Source organism: Homo sapiens, chromosome 13 (assembly GCF_000001405.40).
Source record: "Homo sapiens chromosome 13, GRCh38.p14 Primary Assembly".
In the NCBI taxonomy this organism is placed as follows: domain Eukaryota; kingdom Metazoa; phylum Chordata; class Mammalia; order Primates; family Hominidae; genus Homo; species Homo sapiens.
In genome coordinates this window covers 29,469,224-29,487,898 of record NC_000013.11, presented here as the reverse complement: position 1 = coordinate 29,487,898, position 18,675 = coordinate 29,469,224, and the positions used below count along the sequence as shown (strand labels likewise).

Here is an 18,675-nt window from a genome sequence, read left to right as displayed (position 1 = left end):
TGGAGGAGAGTCGCAGTTACTGGTTAGACAGAGAGCTGCTTGGAGAACAGAAGTGGAATTCCGTGAGTGGAAAAGGTCCGTGACCCAAAACATCAATGACAAGTCACAGCCTTGTGCCGAAGCAGGAGAGCTGGACTTTGGTGGTGATGTGGCAGCCCTCGGAATCACGGGGAGGTCACTGCCACAACCTGGCTCTTTGTAGGGGGGTCCAACTCCAGGCAGGGGATCACTGCCTGAGGTACCTCTTTAGAGTCCTGAGTGTGGCTCCTGGACCATCCCCTTCCCACTGCTTGTCCACGCGCTTGCACCGCTATGAGCGATGACGGCAAAGGAAAAGAAAAGCGTCCTCCCTACGAGGTGGTCTGTTTCCCAGTGGCAGGGGGAGCTACGGTACACAAGGTAAGTGGAGGGAACGAATACTTATTAGGCTGTCCGAGATAGGCTACTCTACTTAACCCTCAGAGCCACCTTATGAAGTATATCTTTTTATGCCCAATTGACAGATGTGGAAACTGAGGCTAAGAGAAATATGAAACGTTTTGCCCAAGGGCTAATAAATGGCAGAGCTAACAGTGAGACCCAGGTCTGTCTGACTCCAAAGGCGAGGCTCTTTCTAATGCACTGTTGTTTTGTGTTCACCTCCCCCAAGCAAGACTAGCAACGAACACCTTAGGATTCTCTCGCCAATACCAGGTGAGGCTGGCAGGTCTGTGTGTCTGTTTTTAAACATAAGGTTGCCCACCAGATTATAACTTGGACCTTCTGCTCAGGCAATGTGGTGCTCCTGGGAAGGGCTGCTGCCTCCCAGCTGCAGGAACACGTCTAGCAGTTTAATCGCAAGTAGTGCAGCCAGTCCAGTCCAGGATTCTTCATTTTCATGTTTCCTGACCCCCTCCCCTACCCCTCACCTGCCTGCCTACCAGGTTTACTGTTTTTGTTATTGTCATTGTGGCTGTTGTTTTAACTTCAAATGTATGACTTGCAGGAGTAATTGTCTAAAACGACCTCTCCCTATGATTGCAAATCTCTCCTGGATGCACTACAACGGTGTTTATCCAAATTCTCTGTCAGTGATCCACTGTAAAAATCACCATTGTACACAATATCACAGTGCACACACCCACACACAACCATACCCAAAACCAAAGTTTCACAAAAACAAAACTTCCCCTTCCATTTGGAAAAATCTGGTTTAAAAATGTTTCCTCTATTTTACTTTGTTTTACAAAACGCTAGTTAGAGGCCACTACATTTATTTCACAAGCTAATAATGCATCAAAACTTGGCATTTGAAAACCACTGAACTAGAAAATGTGCACTGGTCTTGAAGCTCCTTGGTGGCCCAGTTAAGAAGACATTGCTTCTAGCTGGTCATATTCAGCCACCTCTGGGCTCCCACATTTCTCTGGGGGAGAATTCACAGGCTAACCTTTGATCTGAATGGAGAAAGGGCTCTCCCCAAGAAAGGAAGCCTGACTGTGAAGTTGACACGTGAGGATATATTTGTTTTAAAAAAGGGTGGTTTCCCATTCTGCATACTATAATTTCATCAAACAATTATCCTGACTTCTCTCTCTTATGGTAAATGAGAACTTCATCCACTAAAACAAATATCACTGAGCAAAACCTACAGCAGACCCATGGCATTAGGAAAGCTGCATCGCAGTGTGAGAACGGACGTGGTGCACAATGGCTCACTCCCATTTAAAGGCCATTCTTGATCAAACCGTATTTACTTGAAGCTCAGAGCTATGAACCCACCAGGAGAAAGGCTGATTACAACAGTATTTAATTGTCCAATTCCTGTTTATAGGAGGTTTTCATGGAATCTTTGTCCAAAACCTTTCAATCTGTTGGAAAAATAAATCACTGGTTTAAAAAAGGAAATATCTTTTCTTTCTGCTCCATTACAGGTGTCACTTAGGCCATGGCACACTGTAAAAACACAGGCCCCCGCTTCCCCCGCCCCCACCCCACACACTGTTTGGAGGGTTGCTACACAGTTCAGGAGAGCAAAAAACCTTTCATCGGCCCTTGGCGTGATTCTAATTTATTCGGTGCTTACACAAATGATCATGAGTGGTTTCAGAAAAGACAGACAGATGGAAGAACTAAGTTTCAGAAGAGTCCCATGAGTCCCAGGAGGTGGATGTGCCCTGACTGGCAGTACTACACTGTGTTTGTGGCATCAATGTATGCCATTCTGGCTTGCTGGAAGGTATGCCTTTGAGTCATTGGTGATGGAATACCACGCCCATTGTATTAAGGGTAATGTAATGGCATGATATATTCCTTACAACCTTTCCGAGGTGCTTTTATGAATGAAATACTGACCTCTTAACTCCAAAAGTTCATATGGAATTAGAGAAATGCCCAGTATGTTAGGAAGGAAACTAATGGGAGCCCATGAGTCAAAAAATCTGAACACAATAATCCCCGCTCTTTAGTAATTCAGGTTTCATGCAACTTTATGGTTTTTAAAAAATGTTATCTCAAAGAGGAAGGAGCTGTCTACTGTTGGCCATCCTCTTTCTTGTCATAGTATTAATCCATATAACGTCTTCTCCTATGGTTCTTGGCTTCTTTCTACAGCACAGGTTCACATTTATGAAGCAGCCAATAAGAATTCCCAGCCTGAGAGGACCTTGGAACCAGAAGGAATTGGAGGAGATTTAAACAAGCTGACCCAAGGAAAGCACAAGATCTTTCTATGCATTGAAGATCACCAAATCAAAGATAAAAGTGCTCGACCATTATGGCCTATGGCAAACTCGGGCTGGCTGAAGCATCCTTCTCTTCCATTTAGAACCCTGGTGAGGCCCCTTAGACCACCACTGGGCTGTCCTCCTCCCTCCTCAGAGACAGAGTTCTGGGCTGGGCCATGGAGGTGTCTGTCAACACGGCAGTAGTCCTCGTTCTATGGAAAACCAGCTGTTCCCTGTGACACGACTCCATTCCCGCAGCTGCCTGCTATTCAGCTGGGCTGACGGACAGCAGAGCACAGGGTTGGAAGACCACCCTCTCAGACAGGTAAGAATACAGCTGTGGGTTGACTTCATTTAGCCATTTACAAAATGCAATGATCTAGGGCTTTGGCAAGTCACTTAGAGAAGACTTAGATTTCAAATGAAGAAACGTGTGTTTTACATTGTCTCAGCTTTACTCATTAAACCCAAACCAGATTAAACTCCCATTTGCGCCCATCCTACATGGGATGAGAGAGAGGGAGGCTGCCCAGGCCCACTCTCTCCCACGCTCTTAATGACTTTCCTTTTTAGATAACGAGGGGGCCCTCCTTCACTTGGTCCAGGCTTACAGTATCCTGGACACCGGCTCAGAGCCATGCCAGAGCTCCCAGTCTGCTGTCATCCCATGCGGGGCTGTGCCTTTGCCCCTCTGCAGCCCTCCACACAGGCAGGTGTTGACAGAGGCGCCATCTCCACTGCACCGCCTCCTCCCGGAGCATGGAACCTCTGGGCTGTGATGGCAGGCTCTGGTGCTGAGAGACAAGGGCCCCCAGGGATCTCTTTCTATTTGATTAGAGAGAATGTGGTTTCCGCTGCATGGCAGCTATGAGCCTGCTCTGCAGGAGGGCTAAGGAGGCATAATGCAGATGAGGGACAAAGTGGCCTCTGTGAATTTGGATTAATCCTGGGATGCTCTTCCTTTAGTCATTTAGTCTAAAATGATTTCCTTACGAAAGCATAGAAGGTGTATCCTGGATATGAGACAAAGCAAATTTAAACTCCAAAGGCTGAGCTCTGCTGCTCCCTATGGAGGAGGAATCTCTGCTGAGACTTGATGGAGCAGAATCATCATGCATCCAGACTGGCAGTCCCTGAAGTGAGTGGCTCTGGAGCAAGTTGTGGAGTAAGACAAACTTAGGGTCTTGGAGGAATGGGTCAAAGGTCACAAGCCTGATCTTTGCATGCCAGGCTCTGTGGCTGCCTATGTGTGGGGACAGCCAAAGGCAGCCCAGAAACTAGGGCTGGAAGCTGGGCCGAACATGTTTGGGGCAAAAAAGGAAAATGCATGTGTGTTTACAGTGAGTCTGTTTTGCGTGCTTTGACAAAGGGAAGCTGTGGCAATTTGGCATCTGTTAATGTGCAGCTTGCTACAGAAGGAGAGCTGGCTTTCACATGTTAAACACCTTTATAATTGCACCTTTAAAATAAGAGTTATACCTTGTCTTTAAACTCACTTAAGAAAGCCAAGAGGCAACACCACCCCCTCAGGTCCCCCTCAGCGCCCCTCCCTCAGGTCCTTAACTCGAGCCAGCAGGGTCCTGCAGCTCCCGTGATGCTTGCGGTTCTGGGCCCTGGCTGTACACAGAAATTCCCTGGGAGGGCCCAAAAACAACCCGCTGCCAGGCCTCATCAGTGATTCTGATTCAATTAGTGTCAGGGCAGGCTGAGAAGCGGTGTTCTAACCAGTTCTCCAAGTGACCCACCTGTGTAGCCGGAGCACATGCCGTGGGCAGAGAGCCAGCCCATGCCCTGTGAGATGGCGGGGGGCCAAGCAAGAAGCAGCTCTGGCTGGCTTTGTCACGACGGAGGTGCTGCTGCAAAGCCGGAGGTCAGCCTGCCTCGGCCGGCGAGTCCCAATTTGAGTAAAGTGATATTTGCGGCCTCAGAAAATCCTGCGTGTCAGAACTGAAGCAGCACCTGCCCCTGCTGCCAGATGTTGGGGGCCACTGGGTCATGAGGAGATGCCAGGCCAGTGAACCTGATTTTTAAGGTTCCAGAAGGACAGAGATGTCGTTATCTGTGGGGTTAGCATTGCCCAATGCAACCGTCCCTGAGAAGGAGGCCCCAAGAGTGGAGAGTCCACCATGGACCCTGAAACCACGGATCATCCTAATCTCCATCTCAGTCACACCCTTGAGTCTCCTCTCCCACTAAACAGAAACACTGATTCTATCTGGTAGTTAGACTGTTGGCCTGGGGTGCATTTCATCTTCCTCACTTCCTGCATGTTCTCTGCTAGGGAAACTGAAGCCTGGGGAAACAGCCAACGTTCTGCAGCAGGAGCAGAATCAGGGGCCTGAATAATTCACAGGCTTCACTCTCCGGTTCCCCCAAACCAATGGGTTTGTGTTGGAAAGATTCAGTCAAATGTAAAGCATTCAGATATGATTTCTGACATTTCCAGCTGTGAGGATAAGATGTGAAACTCTCAATTCCTCCACACCCTGTCTGCATTTCTCACCTGTGTGACAGTTCCTTGGGCACTTATCTCGAAGCTTCCTCAATGGATAGATAAGCAAGCCCACATTTTATAAATCTTAGTATCTCTTGCAGTATCCTGTCATGGTGCTTTGCGTACATACAATGCACATTCCATAGATATTCTTTGCACAGGTGAATGAGTAAATAAATAAATGGCTTTTGCTATCATAAAGGATCATGAACAGAGCGCAGGGCTCTCATACAACAGAGCGTGTTTGAATTATGCCCAGGTAGCTTATGTAAGTCATTTTCGTGTGGAAAAGTCAAGGGCTTCTTTCCTTTCATCGCTCCAGTTTGAAATCTCTAAAAGGCCGCCGTGTCCCGGCTTTAAAAAGAGGTGAAGCACATCTCTCGGCACATGCTTCTGCATAGGTGAGGCCTCAGCGAGGCGTCCTGGCCCCTGAGTGGAGATGCTCCCCTCAGCCGTGCCTCAGCTCCAGGGCACCATCACGAGAGGCTTCGTTCAGGGTCTCCTGCCTGCGGACCACCTCTTACGTCTCCTCCTCACCTTCTGGTGTCGTCTCAACCAACTCAGACCTTCAGATCAGAGGCCTTTGGTAAATATGGGTATAAACGTGTTCTGTGTAAAACTGGGAATGAATAGCCCATAGATACAGAGGCACAGAACAAGCTGGTATTCATACCAGGTTTGAGATGTATAAAGCGGCCGTAAAATGAGTAAGACTGTAGACAGCAGCACGTGCAAATGTCTACTGACTGGAGTTACATGCAGACAGGCTGGGAGGCACGACACCGGGGGTTCAGTTTCTCATCTTAACACCAACAGGTAACTTCAGCTGTAACCTATTCTGTTTCATAGTCTCTATGGTCTAACCCACCTCAAACAGGGAGGTGTGTCTGGCTTTTATAGGCCTCTAGGAAAGAAGAATGACTAACCTGAGATACTGTGTAGAACAAAATGCCATAAAGTAAGAGAGGTTTTTATTACCATGACAGTAATTAGTATTACTCTGAAATTTCTCCCAGGTCCCCTAAGATTCACAAGCCTCTTCTGGGGCAGTGGGAGGGCTGGGTGGGTATTGTCGTCTGAGATGTCCATTTGGAAGCAGCCGAGGAGGGTAGCCCAAGGGTTTCGGACAATGAAGGCCACTCGACACTAACCTGAATGTCAAGTGAGATTTAAAGGGTGCTCTTCACAAATGTCAACTTACCTTAAGCATATCATAAGCACACTATATAAAGCAACACACCAATTAGAGGGTGGGGACGAAGCCATCGGAGCTGGAGAACTTAGAAACAAGAGAAAAGAAAGGAGCAGCAGTGCTCATGGAAGCGGGGGTGGTGGTGGGGGGTACACTGAATCGTCCGCCTGCCTCTCATCAGCGCTAACGGCAGTCATGGACAAGATAGCTGCCGTGGGGGTGGCAGCACCTGCCTCCTTCTAGCTTTCATACTGACAAGCTCCCTGGGAATTATCCTCTGGTTAGTCCATGGATGCATTTTCCTCTCCAGTAAGGTTTCTGGGCGAAGGTTAACCATGGGCATTCATTCTTTCATTCAGCAAATGGATATTGTGTGGTACTCTGCCAGGCATGGATCCAGGTGCCAGGATCCAGCAGGAGAGTTGGCAGGCAATTCTAACTTAGTGGCTGACAGCAGGGGTGTGGAACCAGACTGGCTGAACCCTGGCTTTTCCATGGCCAGCTCTGTGAATTCTGGCAAATTATTGAACCATGGGGGCTTGGCTTTCTTCCGTGTAAAATGGGAATAAGAATGGTACCTTCCTCGTTAGGGGAACTGTGAGGACTACATGAGTCAGTTCCTGTAAAGAGCTTAGAGCAGTGTCTGGTGTAGGACGAGTGCTACATACATGTTTGCTTGTTATTCTCTCTGCCCTCATGGAATAGAAAGATGATAAATAAGGTAGAAAAGCAAAAATGTATGTGTTAGTGATAAGTGCTGAAGGAACACTAATACTGGGAGGGGGACAGAAAGAGTGTGTATGTGGTTGGGGGAGGAATAATAATTTTGGATAAAGGTCTCACTGAGCAAGGTGACAGAGAAAAGTCTGGAAGGGAGGGCAAGAGGCAGCCATGCACTGTCTAGAGGGAGAGCATTCCAGGCAGAGGGCACAGCAAGTGTGAAAACCCTGAGGAAGAGTGAAGGAGGCCACAGTGGCTGGAGGAGAAGAGAGGAGCGGGGAGAAAGGAGAAAGCAACTCAGAAAGTGAACTGTTCAGAAAGCTCACCTACTGAATAGGACTTCTTGCTAATGTGGCACTGGATCCCCGCCGCCCGCCACCTGCATCACCCAACAGCAGAGCTCGAGCCGCACTGCAGACTGACCTGCTCCTGGTGTTGACACCGGATGCTCAGCAGCTGGTCACCGTGCTCCTCCTGCAGGCGCGCCATTTCCGCCTCGAATTGCAGCTGCAGCCGCTCCTCCAGCTCCTGGAGCTCGGCCTGCTGCTGCCAGCCCAGCCTCTTCACCTCGTCCTCGAACCGCCTCTCCAGCTCCTCCTTCTCCTTTTGTAGTTTCTCGCACTTTGCTGTATGGAAGGCTGGGCGCAAAGCACAAGATCTTTCTTTAAAAAATGGCCGTAGGAGGCATGGGAAGGACTCAGCCTCCATGGTCAGATCATCAAGGCTGGCGTAATAAACAGGGCGAGGTCCTCTGACTTCTGCAGGGCTACACAGTTTGTAAAGTGCTTTCCTTTCCACCCATTAGATCCTCACAACAGACCCTGGATGTTGAGAAGCTGCAGCCTCATGGAGGTCTGGAGACTTGCCCAAGGTCATCCAGCGGCTGGAGAAGGAGCTGGGAAGGCAAATCTGGGCTTTCTGATTGCAAGGCCTCTAGGGCAGGTTGTCACAAGGTCCGTGGTCCACAGACATAAAAAATATTGGGCGTTTGGTAAAAATGTAGACTCTGAAATACGCCCTGGGTGAATCAGAGCCCATGAGGCAGGAATTCAGGATCTCAACTTTTAGCAAAACCCCTGGGTGACTCTTACGTCCATCAAGACTTGAGAGCTGCACACTATGGAAGCTGGAGATAGGAATAGGGCCTGGCGCCTAAGGCTATTCTCTTCTAGCTAAAATGCCAAACAGGATGATCTCAGAGCAGGTGTGGGGGTTTCCTTTCAGGTACCCTGAAGTTTTCTACTCGGTATCTCTTTTGCATAGACACTCCACCCCTAATCACAGATTCATGGTTTGCTTCAGGTGTGCCAGCTGACAACAGGGCATGAGGCAATGACAGCGGCCACCATCGCTCCTGCCTGAGCTCACTCTCCAAGCCTGCTCTGTCTTAGTGTCTGTGCCTCCCCTGTGCTGTGGGCAAAAGCCAAGTGCTTCCATTCTAAAGACCTCTCCCTGAGCTGCACACCTGCTTCCAAGACCTTGACAATCGACTACATCTAGGTCAAATGGAACCGATTCCACACACACCCAAATGCAAATGCCGAGCTACACAGACACATCATTTACATTCTACAAAGGTCTACCATGCTCGCTGCTCTGTGCTACGAACTGGGGAGACATTGGCATTTACGTTAAAATAGAGTTGAGCAGGTACAGGTGCTGATTAGCTGTAATCCACACCCTAGTGGTGGTTACTGATGACAGGAATATGCATCCAAGGTTGCTAGATAGCATTTGAAACACCCTAATCAGAAGTCCCACGCTATAGAGGCAGCTAATTAAAGGGCTTCTTTGCCACATTTGGCTCTGAAAAGTTTAATTAGCATAAGGGATGTTAACGTTTTCTTCTTCTGGTGAAATAAGTGATGGATTCGCTAGATATTACACAGGCACCTTGCCCTTGTGTGAAGGGTGTGTCCTAACATCCTTCACACAGCCCAGCAGCCTAACACTGTCCCCAGTGGTCTTCCTATCCTACCCGAGGGCTTCCATTGGGCCAGTGTCCCACATCCCATCATTTAATGGAGGACTCTGATCTCCCAATGCAATCAGGGCCCACCGAGGGCAGAGTGGTTGGAGCTGTTCCATTCCATGTGTAGGCAGTAAGGAGATGCGCTGTAGGTAGAGAATTTACAAGCGAAAAACAAACTGACTTTAAAAGACCCTGGCTTTTGATTAGCGCCGTGCACCAATAATTCTAAACAATATTGATGGAAAAAGACTCCTCCTCAAAAAAGGCTTTTGTTGCTCTAAGTTCTGAACAATTGCTACAGTGACTTACCTTTCAGGTTTTTGAACTCTTGAGGGCTTTTTATTTTTTAAATCACACAGAGAAAACATAGAAGTACAGTACAAGGACATTATTGTATAATTGGAACCATTTGAGAGTAAGATGCTGACCTGCTGAACATGAACCTCATATCTCCCCATGTACATTCCCTACAAATAAGGGCTTTCCCCAACTTAACCACCGCACTGTCATGAAAATCAGGAAAGAAACATTGCTACAATAGTGCTGCCCAGTGCTCAGACCTACTTCAGTTTCACGAGTTACTCCGATGACGTCCTTTCTAGAAAAGGAATCCAGCCCTGAATCACAAGTTGCACCAAAGGAGGCTCCTGTCTCCTTAGTCTCCTTCAGGCTGGGACAGTTCCTCAGTCTTTCCTTGACTTTTAGAACCTGGACACTATTTTAAAGATAACTGGCCAGGAATCTTGTAGAATGTTTCTGAATTTAGTGCATCTGATGTTTTCTTCTTATCCCATTGAGCTTATGCCTGTTTGGCAGGAATATTACAGAAGTAGCACTGAATTCTTCTCAATTAATAAATTTAAATATTATCGTGAAAATGGAAATTTCTTCTTTTTAAATTATTTATGTAGTGAGTCAGGAAAATAATGTGTATTACTGATTATTACATGGTGATGCTGAAAATAATTTTGTGGTATAGAAGACAAGGTGTTAAAAATGGTCCAATTTGATACCCAAAATGGACCAATTATATATATATATAATTGTCACATCTGCTGCAAGTAGATCTTTTAGGTGAGGTATTTCTAAGGAACAAAGAGATGGAATGCACCAAGCTTCAGAGCACAGGTAGGAAGCTGACATTTTGCTTGTCTGCTAATAATTATTAGTATGAAAGGCAGACTTGGTCAGAGACTTTGTGGTACCTTGTACTGAGGTTGTGGCAGGGGACCCCCAGGGTCCTCCCCTTCCTCTGATCACTGGAGGCTACAGTCCCCACACAAGGAACTTAATGAACAATGACTGATAGGCAATGTGGCTCAGGTGTGGTGGCAGGGGTGAGGACATGCCTGTTCCCAGGAGTTCTGTGACCCCAGCTTACTTGAGCTCCAGCTCTCCCTAAAGACCCTCCAACTAAGAAAAAGTAATCAGGATTCCACCAGGGAGTTGAGCTAGCGAACAAAGCTCTTAGGAATCACAGAAGAGGTAAGAGGTAGATATATAAAGATAGGTTTATCCTGAGATGACTGGGTGTTGAGAGAATAGAACAAAGACCATAGAATGTCAATTAAAAAACGGTGATTGACAGATTGACACAAAGTCAAATTAATTCAAGTAGAGAAGCAAGAATTTTATCTACATTGAGAGAAAGCACAAAGTCACCCTACAGACAAAAACACAGGCTCCTGCTGCTCACTAGGGCAGCCCAGGGAACAAGCTCCATGTGGACTTCCCAGTGCACGGGGCCTGTCTGCAAAGTGCTCTTTCCTCTAAAATTCAATGTGCAGTAGCTTCATAGTGGCTTTTGCCTCACGTATCATGTACCTGTGGATGGGATAACTAAAGCAGTGACATCGATGTGTTTGCTTGTATTTAGGTTTACCAAGAAGCTCACTGAGAGGCGACACAAACGGCCAAGAACATGAAAAGACGGTCAGTGCCCTTGCAGATGGAAGCAGGCAATCATTTTTCACCTGCAAGGCTGATAAAGATGAAATGTTCTGATAATACAGGAAGAGTATAAGGAAACTGTCACTCGATGGACTCCAGGTGAAATATAACTAATCCAGCTGCCTTGGAGGGAAAAGATATCTTTCAAAATTGAAATGACAGGAATGGCAGCATTATGGGTGGGAGATAAAGAATCTGGGTTTCTTTCAGGGGTGATGAAAATGTTCTAAAACGGATTGTGGTGACAGTTTTCCACAACTCGGAATATACTGAAAACCACCACATTGTATACTTAAATGGGTGGGTTGTATGGTATGTGAATTATATCTCAATAAAATTTTTACCAAAAGAGAGGAAGAACATTTTTAAAAAACTAACATAACATGGAATATATCTCAGAGGATAAATTTAGATGTTTTTATAGAAGGAAAGTTCATATTCTGATTTTAAAACTCTAGATAACAATGGTGAAGATAAATGCTGGCAAAATAAAACAATGAAAACCCTACCACAACACTGTTGTATATACAAACACACATACATATATACATATATGGATATCCAGTCATGCATTGCTTAATGATGGGGATACGTTCTGACAAATGCTTTATTAGGAAATTTCATCATTGTGCAAACATCATGGAGTGTAGGCATAGCCTACTACCCACCGAGGCCATATGGTGTAGCCTACTGTTCCTAGGCTACAAACCTGTAGAGCATGTTACTGTACTGAATACTGTAGGAAGTTATAACACAATGCTAAGTATTTGTGAATCTAATCATATCTACACATTAACAAGGTACAGTTAAAATACGGTATAAAAGATAAAAAACGGTACACCTGCACGGGGTACTTACCATGAATGAAGCCTGCAGGACTGGAGGCTCCTCTGGGTAAGTCAGTGAATGATGAGTGAATGTGAGGGCCTACGACATGACTGTACACTACTATAGACTTTAGAAACACCATACACTTAGGCTACACTAAATTTATTTAAAAAAATTTTTCTGTGCTCAAGATAAGTTAACTTCAGCTTACCATAACCGTTTTACTTGACAAACTTTTTGATTTTTTCAAACTTTTTGACTCTTTTGTAATAACACTTAGCCTAAAATGCACATACACTGTAAAGCTGTTCAAACATGGTTTTTCTTTATATCATTATTCTAAAAGCTTTTTTCTATTTTTAAAATTTTTATTTACTTTTTTACTTTTTAAGCTTTTTTGTTAAAAACTAAGACACAAATGCATATATTAGCGTAAGCCTACACAGGCTCAGGACCATCAATATCTCCATCTTCCAACTCCACATCTTGTCCCACTGGAAGGTCTTCAGGGGCAGTAACATCCATGGAGCTGTCATCTCCTAGGAAAACAATGCCTTCTTCGGCAGTACCTCCTGAAGGACCTGCCTGAGGATGTTTTGCAGTAAATTTTGTTTTATAATAAATAGAAGGAGCACCCTCTAAAATAATTATAAAAATATAGCATAGTAAATACATAAACCAGTAACAAAGTCATTTATATTATCAAGTATTATGTACTAAACATAATTATATGTGCTAGACTTTTATACGATTGGCAGCACATTAGGTTTGTTTATACCAGCATCACCACAAAGATGTGAGTAATGCATTGTGCTATGAGGCTCTGACGTCACCGGGTGATAGAAATTTTTCAGCTGCATTATAATCTTGTGGGACCACCTTTGTACATGAGGTCTGTTGTTGACTGCAATGTTGTTATGTGGTGCATGGCTGTACATGGAACCTAGGAATCATTCTTACCACTTCTTAGCTAGAGATACATTGAGCACATAAAACTCAAATGAAAATAATAAGAAAAATGCTAATCATTTATTTTGTTTTTAGAAAGTACTGTTTTGCATGGGAAAAAATTATTTATCACGTGCCAAGATCAGTAGCTTTAACTCCAGAAGATCAAGGCAATAAGTTGGCTTGTGTAGGTGGAATAAAACAGACAGAACACATATAAATGAATAAAAACAACTTATTCACATTGATGAAAAAATTAAATGACACATATCTTTTAATACAATAATTTCACAAGTGCACAAAAATCTGAGTCAAGGACAACCACTATAGCATAATTTGCCTTAGGGAACTAGTAGGGGGCTACTCAAATTATGATGAGTAGGTTGAATCCTGTGCCAATGGGATATAGATAACCAGTAAAAAAAATAAGGCAAATCTTTTTGTAGTATCATGGAATGACCTCCGTAATATATTGTTAAACCAAGAAAAGGCAACAAGCAAAACAGTGTAATTGTAAAATTACATTTGTGATAAAAAGTGTATCTATATTTCTACTCTTTCTCCTTTGGGAGGTTGGGTGCCAAGGTACAGGGATTCACTGTATGTTGAATTCCTGTCATGATATATATTTCATTAAATCCCTGTTTATTGTTTGCATGACTTAGAAGTAAAAAGATTTTTAAAATTATTGTCATAATTAAAGAGAAGTCTGGGTTTTCAAAAGTTCTGGTAAAAGTTCAATTTCACTTAGTTTTATCCATGTCAGTGATAGGACGATTCATGGACCAGGCACTCTACTAGAGGCTCAGAAATGATTGGGTTTCATTCTAGGGCTGTCCCTGAACTGCACTGTTGTCTTAAATAAATCACAAACTGGGTACACCTCAGTTTTGCTGTCTATAAAGTGGCAAAGTAATCACTTTTTGCACATATAGCTCCAATCCCCAAATTCCCAATTGCTATTATAAAATGAGAGGTGATGCTTACATTCTTCCAATGGCTCTCTGTTGTAAGCCCTAGGCCTGTAGAAAATATTGGATAATAAGAGCAGCTGGCACCAGGGGAAATGGCTCCAATAATGGAGTCCCTAAAGAAATAAATATCCTGTTGCCTCTAGTAAACCTTCAGAAGTCTATCTATTTGGGCACTTTTCAGACAGAGATTAATGTAAGCTAATTTAATAGCATTAGACAACACCTGGAGTTTCACTTTCATTATTTATTTCTACTCACGTAAAAACATTTAATCCTTTAGAGTGAAAGGCAGACACCACTATCATAAACCCCTACAATCTAGGGAGCTGAGAAAATAAATATTCAAATAATCAGATTATGATTGGCCAAGAGAATATATCATTTCTAATTTATAAGCATAGATTTGAAAAGCAAAAGTAGGATTATAATCTGTTGTACAGTTTTAAATAACTGATGATTATTGACAATGAATAATACACACACATCTGATATAAAAATACCTAAAATATTATTAAAACTGCATTCTGAACATCCTCCGACATATATAATATATAAAGATATCAATCTACCAACTTCTTAGTGTAAACCAGTAAGATGTAGTGTGATCCTTGAAACAACAGCAGAGTAAAATTGCTGTTGGAACCATTTATAAGACAAGCTTAATTTCAACCACAGTTCATAAATTGAGTAGGAGAACACTCAGCGAGTAAGATCAATTTGCTCTCAACGACTGTCCCAAGTGTCTTCTGCATAATTGTAACTTTACATTGGTTTTCCAAAGAGGCAGCCAAAATAGGTGGTTACGGAACTAGACTGAAACAAAAGAGAACTATCTGGCTCTACAGCTCGTAATAAAATCTTAAATAAGAATATTATGTGGCCTTTTAGGTCATAGCAAATGCTTTATAATAGCTATAAAATAAATGATGAACCAATACTTTGTGTGTATATATAATATATATACATGTTACCATTATATATACACACATATAGTATATATTATTTACATATTTACATGCACATTATACATATTTAGGTCACTATAATAGTCACTATCATTACATACTGATGATAGACAATACCACAGTTAGATAAAAGATTAAGTTGTTTCTTCAAGAGATTGGGAGTAATTGAAAAGACAAAATAACTGTCAAGGACAAAATTTAATTTAAAAAATTACCCTTAATGTCACTACACAAAGAAAATGAAAATTTAAATTGTGTAATCCCTTCATAGCATTTCAGTGGTGTGAATTCTTAATATCCTGTTAGGAATTTCCCATGTCTTCCTACCTAACATTTTATGGCTACTTTATATTCTCATGTTCGTGTAACACAATTTATATTCTCTCATTATTGCACAATTAGTTTGTTTCCAAGATTTGCCATTATAGACAAATGCAACAAACATGTTCACCCATATATCATTTTGCTTTTTTCATTTAGGATACATTCCTAGGTGTAAAATTACATGGGATTAGATATTATGAGCATCTTTATGCAGTGTAGTTTTTCTTTTTTGGTGGCACAGATCCTTGTAACAAACCTGTGACCACCAGGCGGAGCTATGCTGCCTGAAAAATGCCCCCTGGTGGCAAATGTCTTTGTCCAAACCCGTTAGGTCACAGGAACATCCGCAAGGTGGTCAGGGTGGGTTGCATGAAACACAGCTGCCTGGGATCCCGGACACACTACCCTGTAGAGCCCTACTCTCTCTAATTACTGATTTTTGATGACAATGTTAAGAAGTGAGAAAGGAACGGCTGAAAATGAAGGATGAAAGTTCATGGACCATGGCTGGGCACGGTGGCTCACGCCTGTAATCCCAGCACTTTGGGAGGCTGAGGCAGGCAGAACACCTGAGGTCAGGAGATGGAGACCAGCCTGGCCATGGTGAAACCCCATCTCTACTAAAAATATAAACATTAACCAGGCTTGGTGGCACGTGCCTGTAATCCCAGATACTTGGGAGGCTGAGGCAGGAGAATCGCTTGAACTCGGGAGGCAGAGGTTACAGTGAGCCGAGATCATGCCACTGCACTCCAGCCTGGGTGACAGAGCAAGACTTCATCTCAAAAAGAAAAACAACAGAAAGTTCATGGACCAAGAGTGAAAGAACAGGAGTCACTGGGACTCTTGTCATCTCTGCAGGTCCCTGCAGCATCTCTCGGGCCTGGTGACCAAAAGGGAGCTGGCGCTGTGAAAATCACAGGTGGCATCTGCGAGTGCTTCCTGGGTGCCAAGCACCTGCCTCATACCGTTACCCACAGTAAGCCTACTAGGGGTCCCGTAAGTAGCCTAATCCATTTGCAAAGAGCAGGCAGGGGCTCAGAAAGAGGAACTAAGTGACCTAAGATCAATGTGTCGGGGGGGGCTGGGCCTGCAGAGCAGAGGCTGGAGCATAAGCTGAAGCCTCTCCTCTTGTCCACGCCTCCAGTGGGGGCCTCCATGATGCACCCGTGTGGTAATAGTGGGAGGGAGGACAATGCCTCACCATAGCTTCCTAAAAACAACCACTGTTGTAAACTGCAACACATCTCTTTACCTGTCTGTCTCCCGCAGCAGTGGGCAAGGACAGTTGCTATCCTCATTTTTGTATCTGTGTTCAGATAGGCAGGCCAACAGTCAATAAACTGGCGTTGACTTTATGTCATCTCTTGTGTGACAAGCATAGTTCTTGGCATAGTGGAGAACAGATGCTGTCATGGCGGGCAAACAAATGAGCAAAAAATGTAGGAAGCAAAATTTCATTTTATTTTATTATTATTATTATTATTTTTGAGATGGAGTCTCGCTCTGTTGCTGGAGTGCAGTGATGTGATCTTGGCTCACAACATCCTCTGCCTTCTGGGTTCAAGCGATTCTCCTGCCTCAGCCTCCCGAGTAGCTGGGATTACAGGCACGCGCCACCAAGCCCAGCTAATTTGTGTATTTTTAGTAGAGATGGGGTTTCACCATGTTGGCCAGGCCGGTCTCAAACTCCTGACCTCAAGTGAGCTGCCCGCCTCAGCCTCCCAAAGTGTTATGATCACAGGTGTGAGCCACCCCGCCCCGCCAGGAAGCAAAATTTCAGATAGTAAAAATTTTAGATAAGTGCAGTAAAGAAAGTGAAATAGAAGCAAGGCTAGGGAAAGACCGGGGAAAGGGGAAGGCAAGTTCAGCTGGGGTGGATAAAGAAGGCTGTTCGGAGAAGACACCATTCAAACAGACTTGAATGACAGAGAAGAATGTGGAGAGATGGGGAAAGGGAGTCCCAGTTAGAAGGAACTGCAAGTACCAAGGTCTTAAGATGGGAAAAATTCTAGCATACTGCGGAGAGAAAGACAACCAGTGGGGCCTGAGTGCCCATGGAGGAGAGCAGAAGGAGGTGAAGTTCCAGAGGAAGGTAGGGACTTATCATGCAGGGCCTGTGGCCCCTCAAAAGAGTTAGGGTTATGCTCAGGTAACAGTGGAAAGTCCCCAGAGAGTATCAAACGGGATAACAGGAACGAATGAAGCTTTTAAATCCCTCTGGTAGTTGCATGGAGAACAGACTGTAGGAGGCAAGGATGGAAGCGAGGCAATCAGTGAGGAGAATGTGTTTGGAGCCCAGGTGGTGAGATTCAGTGATGACTTGGACTCAGGCTGTTGCATGGGGAGGAATGGATTGATGGGGGATGCATTTGGGAGGCAAAGACAAATTGACTTGCTTATGGATGGGATGAGGGAGGTGCAGGACAGACAGTAATCTTACAGTGGAATTCCCCTCTGGGTCACAATCCTCAGGAAGGGCGTTTCTGGATGTTAGAGGTTGTCAGTTAGTATGAAAAATATAAAATTCAAGACTGCTAAATTTTGATAAGCCTTTCATGATTAGTGATAGTATCACCTGGTTCACATGCTGTGGTGTATTTTATACAGTACTGAGTTATTAAAAGCATGGAGCCTCAGGATGGACTCTAGTTATTAAACTCCCCCAGTGCGGTGGGGTAGGTTAATAGTTGTGTTTTTCTCCCTGAGGGTCTGTAAACAGTTTGTGAAAGGATATTTGAGATTTGGCTGTACTAAGGTGAAGGGCATTTTGGGCATTAGGAGTCTGGGATGGGATGTAAAAAATACATAAATATTTCTTATCAAGGTGGCATTTTAAAGGGCACTGATGTTTTCCTTCCCTGTGAGCCAAACTTTGAGAACACAGACCCCAAACTGGATGACTACAGAGGCCTCCAGATCCCCTAATCCATGTCAGGAGTGCTGCATTGAAATCTCACCCCTTCTTTCTTTTTTTTTTAAAAAAACTAAATTTTATTTATTTTTATTATTAATTTTTAGAGACAGGGTCTTGCTCTGTCACCCAGGCTGGAGTGCAGTGGCACAATCATGACTCACTGCAGCCTGTAACTCTTGGGCTCAAACGATCCTCCCGCTTTGGCCTTCCAAATTTCTGGGATTATGGGTGTGAGCCACTGCACCCAGCCTTCTTTCTTTCTTTCTTTCTTTTTTTTTTTTTTGAGACATAGTCTTGCTCTGTTGCCCAGGCTGGAGTGCAGTGGCGCGATCTTGGCTCACTGCAACTTCTGCCTCCCAGGTTCACGCCATTCTCCTGCCTCAGCCTCCCCAGTAGCTGGGACTACAGGCGCCCACCACCACGCCCAACTAATTTTTTGTATTTTTAGTAGAGACAGGGTTTCACTGCATTAGCCAGGATGGTCTCCACTCCTGACCTCGTGATCCACCAGCCTCGGCCTCCCAAAGTGCTGGGATTACAGGCGTGAGCCACCACGCCTGGCCGCCTTCTTTCTTAAAGAATTTACTGTACGCTGAATCCTGCAGGTCAGAGTTTCCCGATAAAGAGAGATTAGAAGGGGTGGGTGGAAAAAGTGAAAAGTCCAGGAAGGGGAGTGGTCACAGGAG

The 18,675-nt window shown here is 44.4% G+C and overlaps 1 protein-coding gene and 1 long non-coding RNA gene across 13 annotated transcripts in view, besides 2 other annotated features; one reads left to right on the top strand and one right to left on the bottom strand.

Annotated features, from left to right (window-relative positions):
* Positions 1-18,675, bottom strand: part of MTUS2 (microtubule associated scaffold protein 2) — a 685,985-nt gene that overhangs the window by 18,049 nt on the left and 649,261 nt on the right. For all 12 annotated transcript variants that reach the window (XM_047430227.1, NM_001384605.1, XM_011535019.4 and 9 more), the window contains one exon: positions 7,535-7,749. In XM_047430227.1, coding sequence (XP_047286183.1) covers positions 7,535-7,749 — 215 coding nt within the window. The remainder of the gene's footprint in view (positions 1-7,534; positions 7,750-18,675) is intronic.
* Positions 149-11,384, top strand: MTUS2-AS1 (MTUS2 antisense RNA 1). The gene is made up of 3 exons (NR_046378.1): positions 149-399; positions 2,593-3,030; positions 10,960-11,384. It is a non-coding gene; the product is annotated as an MTUS2 antisense RNA 1 (long non-coding RNA).
* Positions 2,886-3,403: an enhancer, noted in NCBI's record as "H3K4me1 hESC enhancer chr13:30058633-30059150 (GRCh37/hg19 assembly coordinates)". NCBI's record gives its function as "activates a minimal SCP1, AML or CMV promoter by ChIP-STARR-seq in naive H9 embryonic stem cells {active_cell/tissue: H9 hESC(naive)}" and the evidence as "EXISTENCE:reporter gene assay evidence [ECO:0000049][PMID:30033119]".
* Positions 3,404-3,923: an enhancer, noted in NCBI's record as "H3K4me1 hESC enhancer chr13:30058113-30058632 (GRCh37/hg19 assembly coordinates)". NCBI's record gives its function as "activates a minimal SCP1, AML or CMV promoter by ChIP-STARR-seq in naive H9 embryonic stem cells {active_cell/tissue: H9 hESC(naive)}" and the evidence as "EXISTENCE:reporter gene assay evidence [ECO:0000049][PMID:30033119]".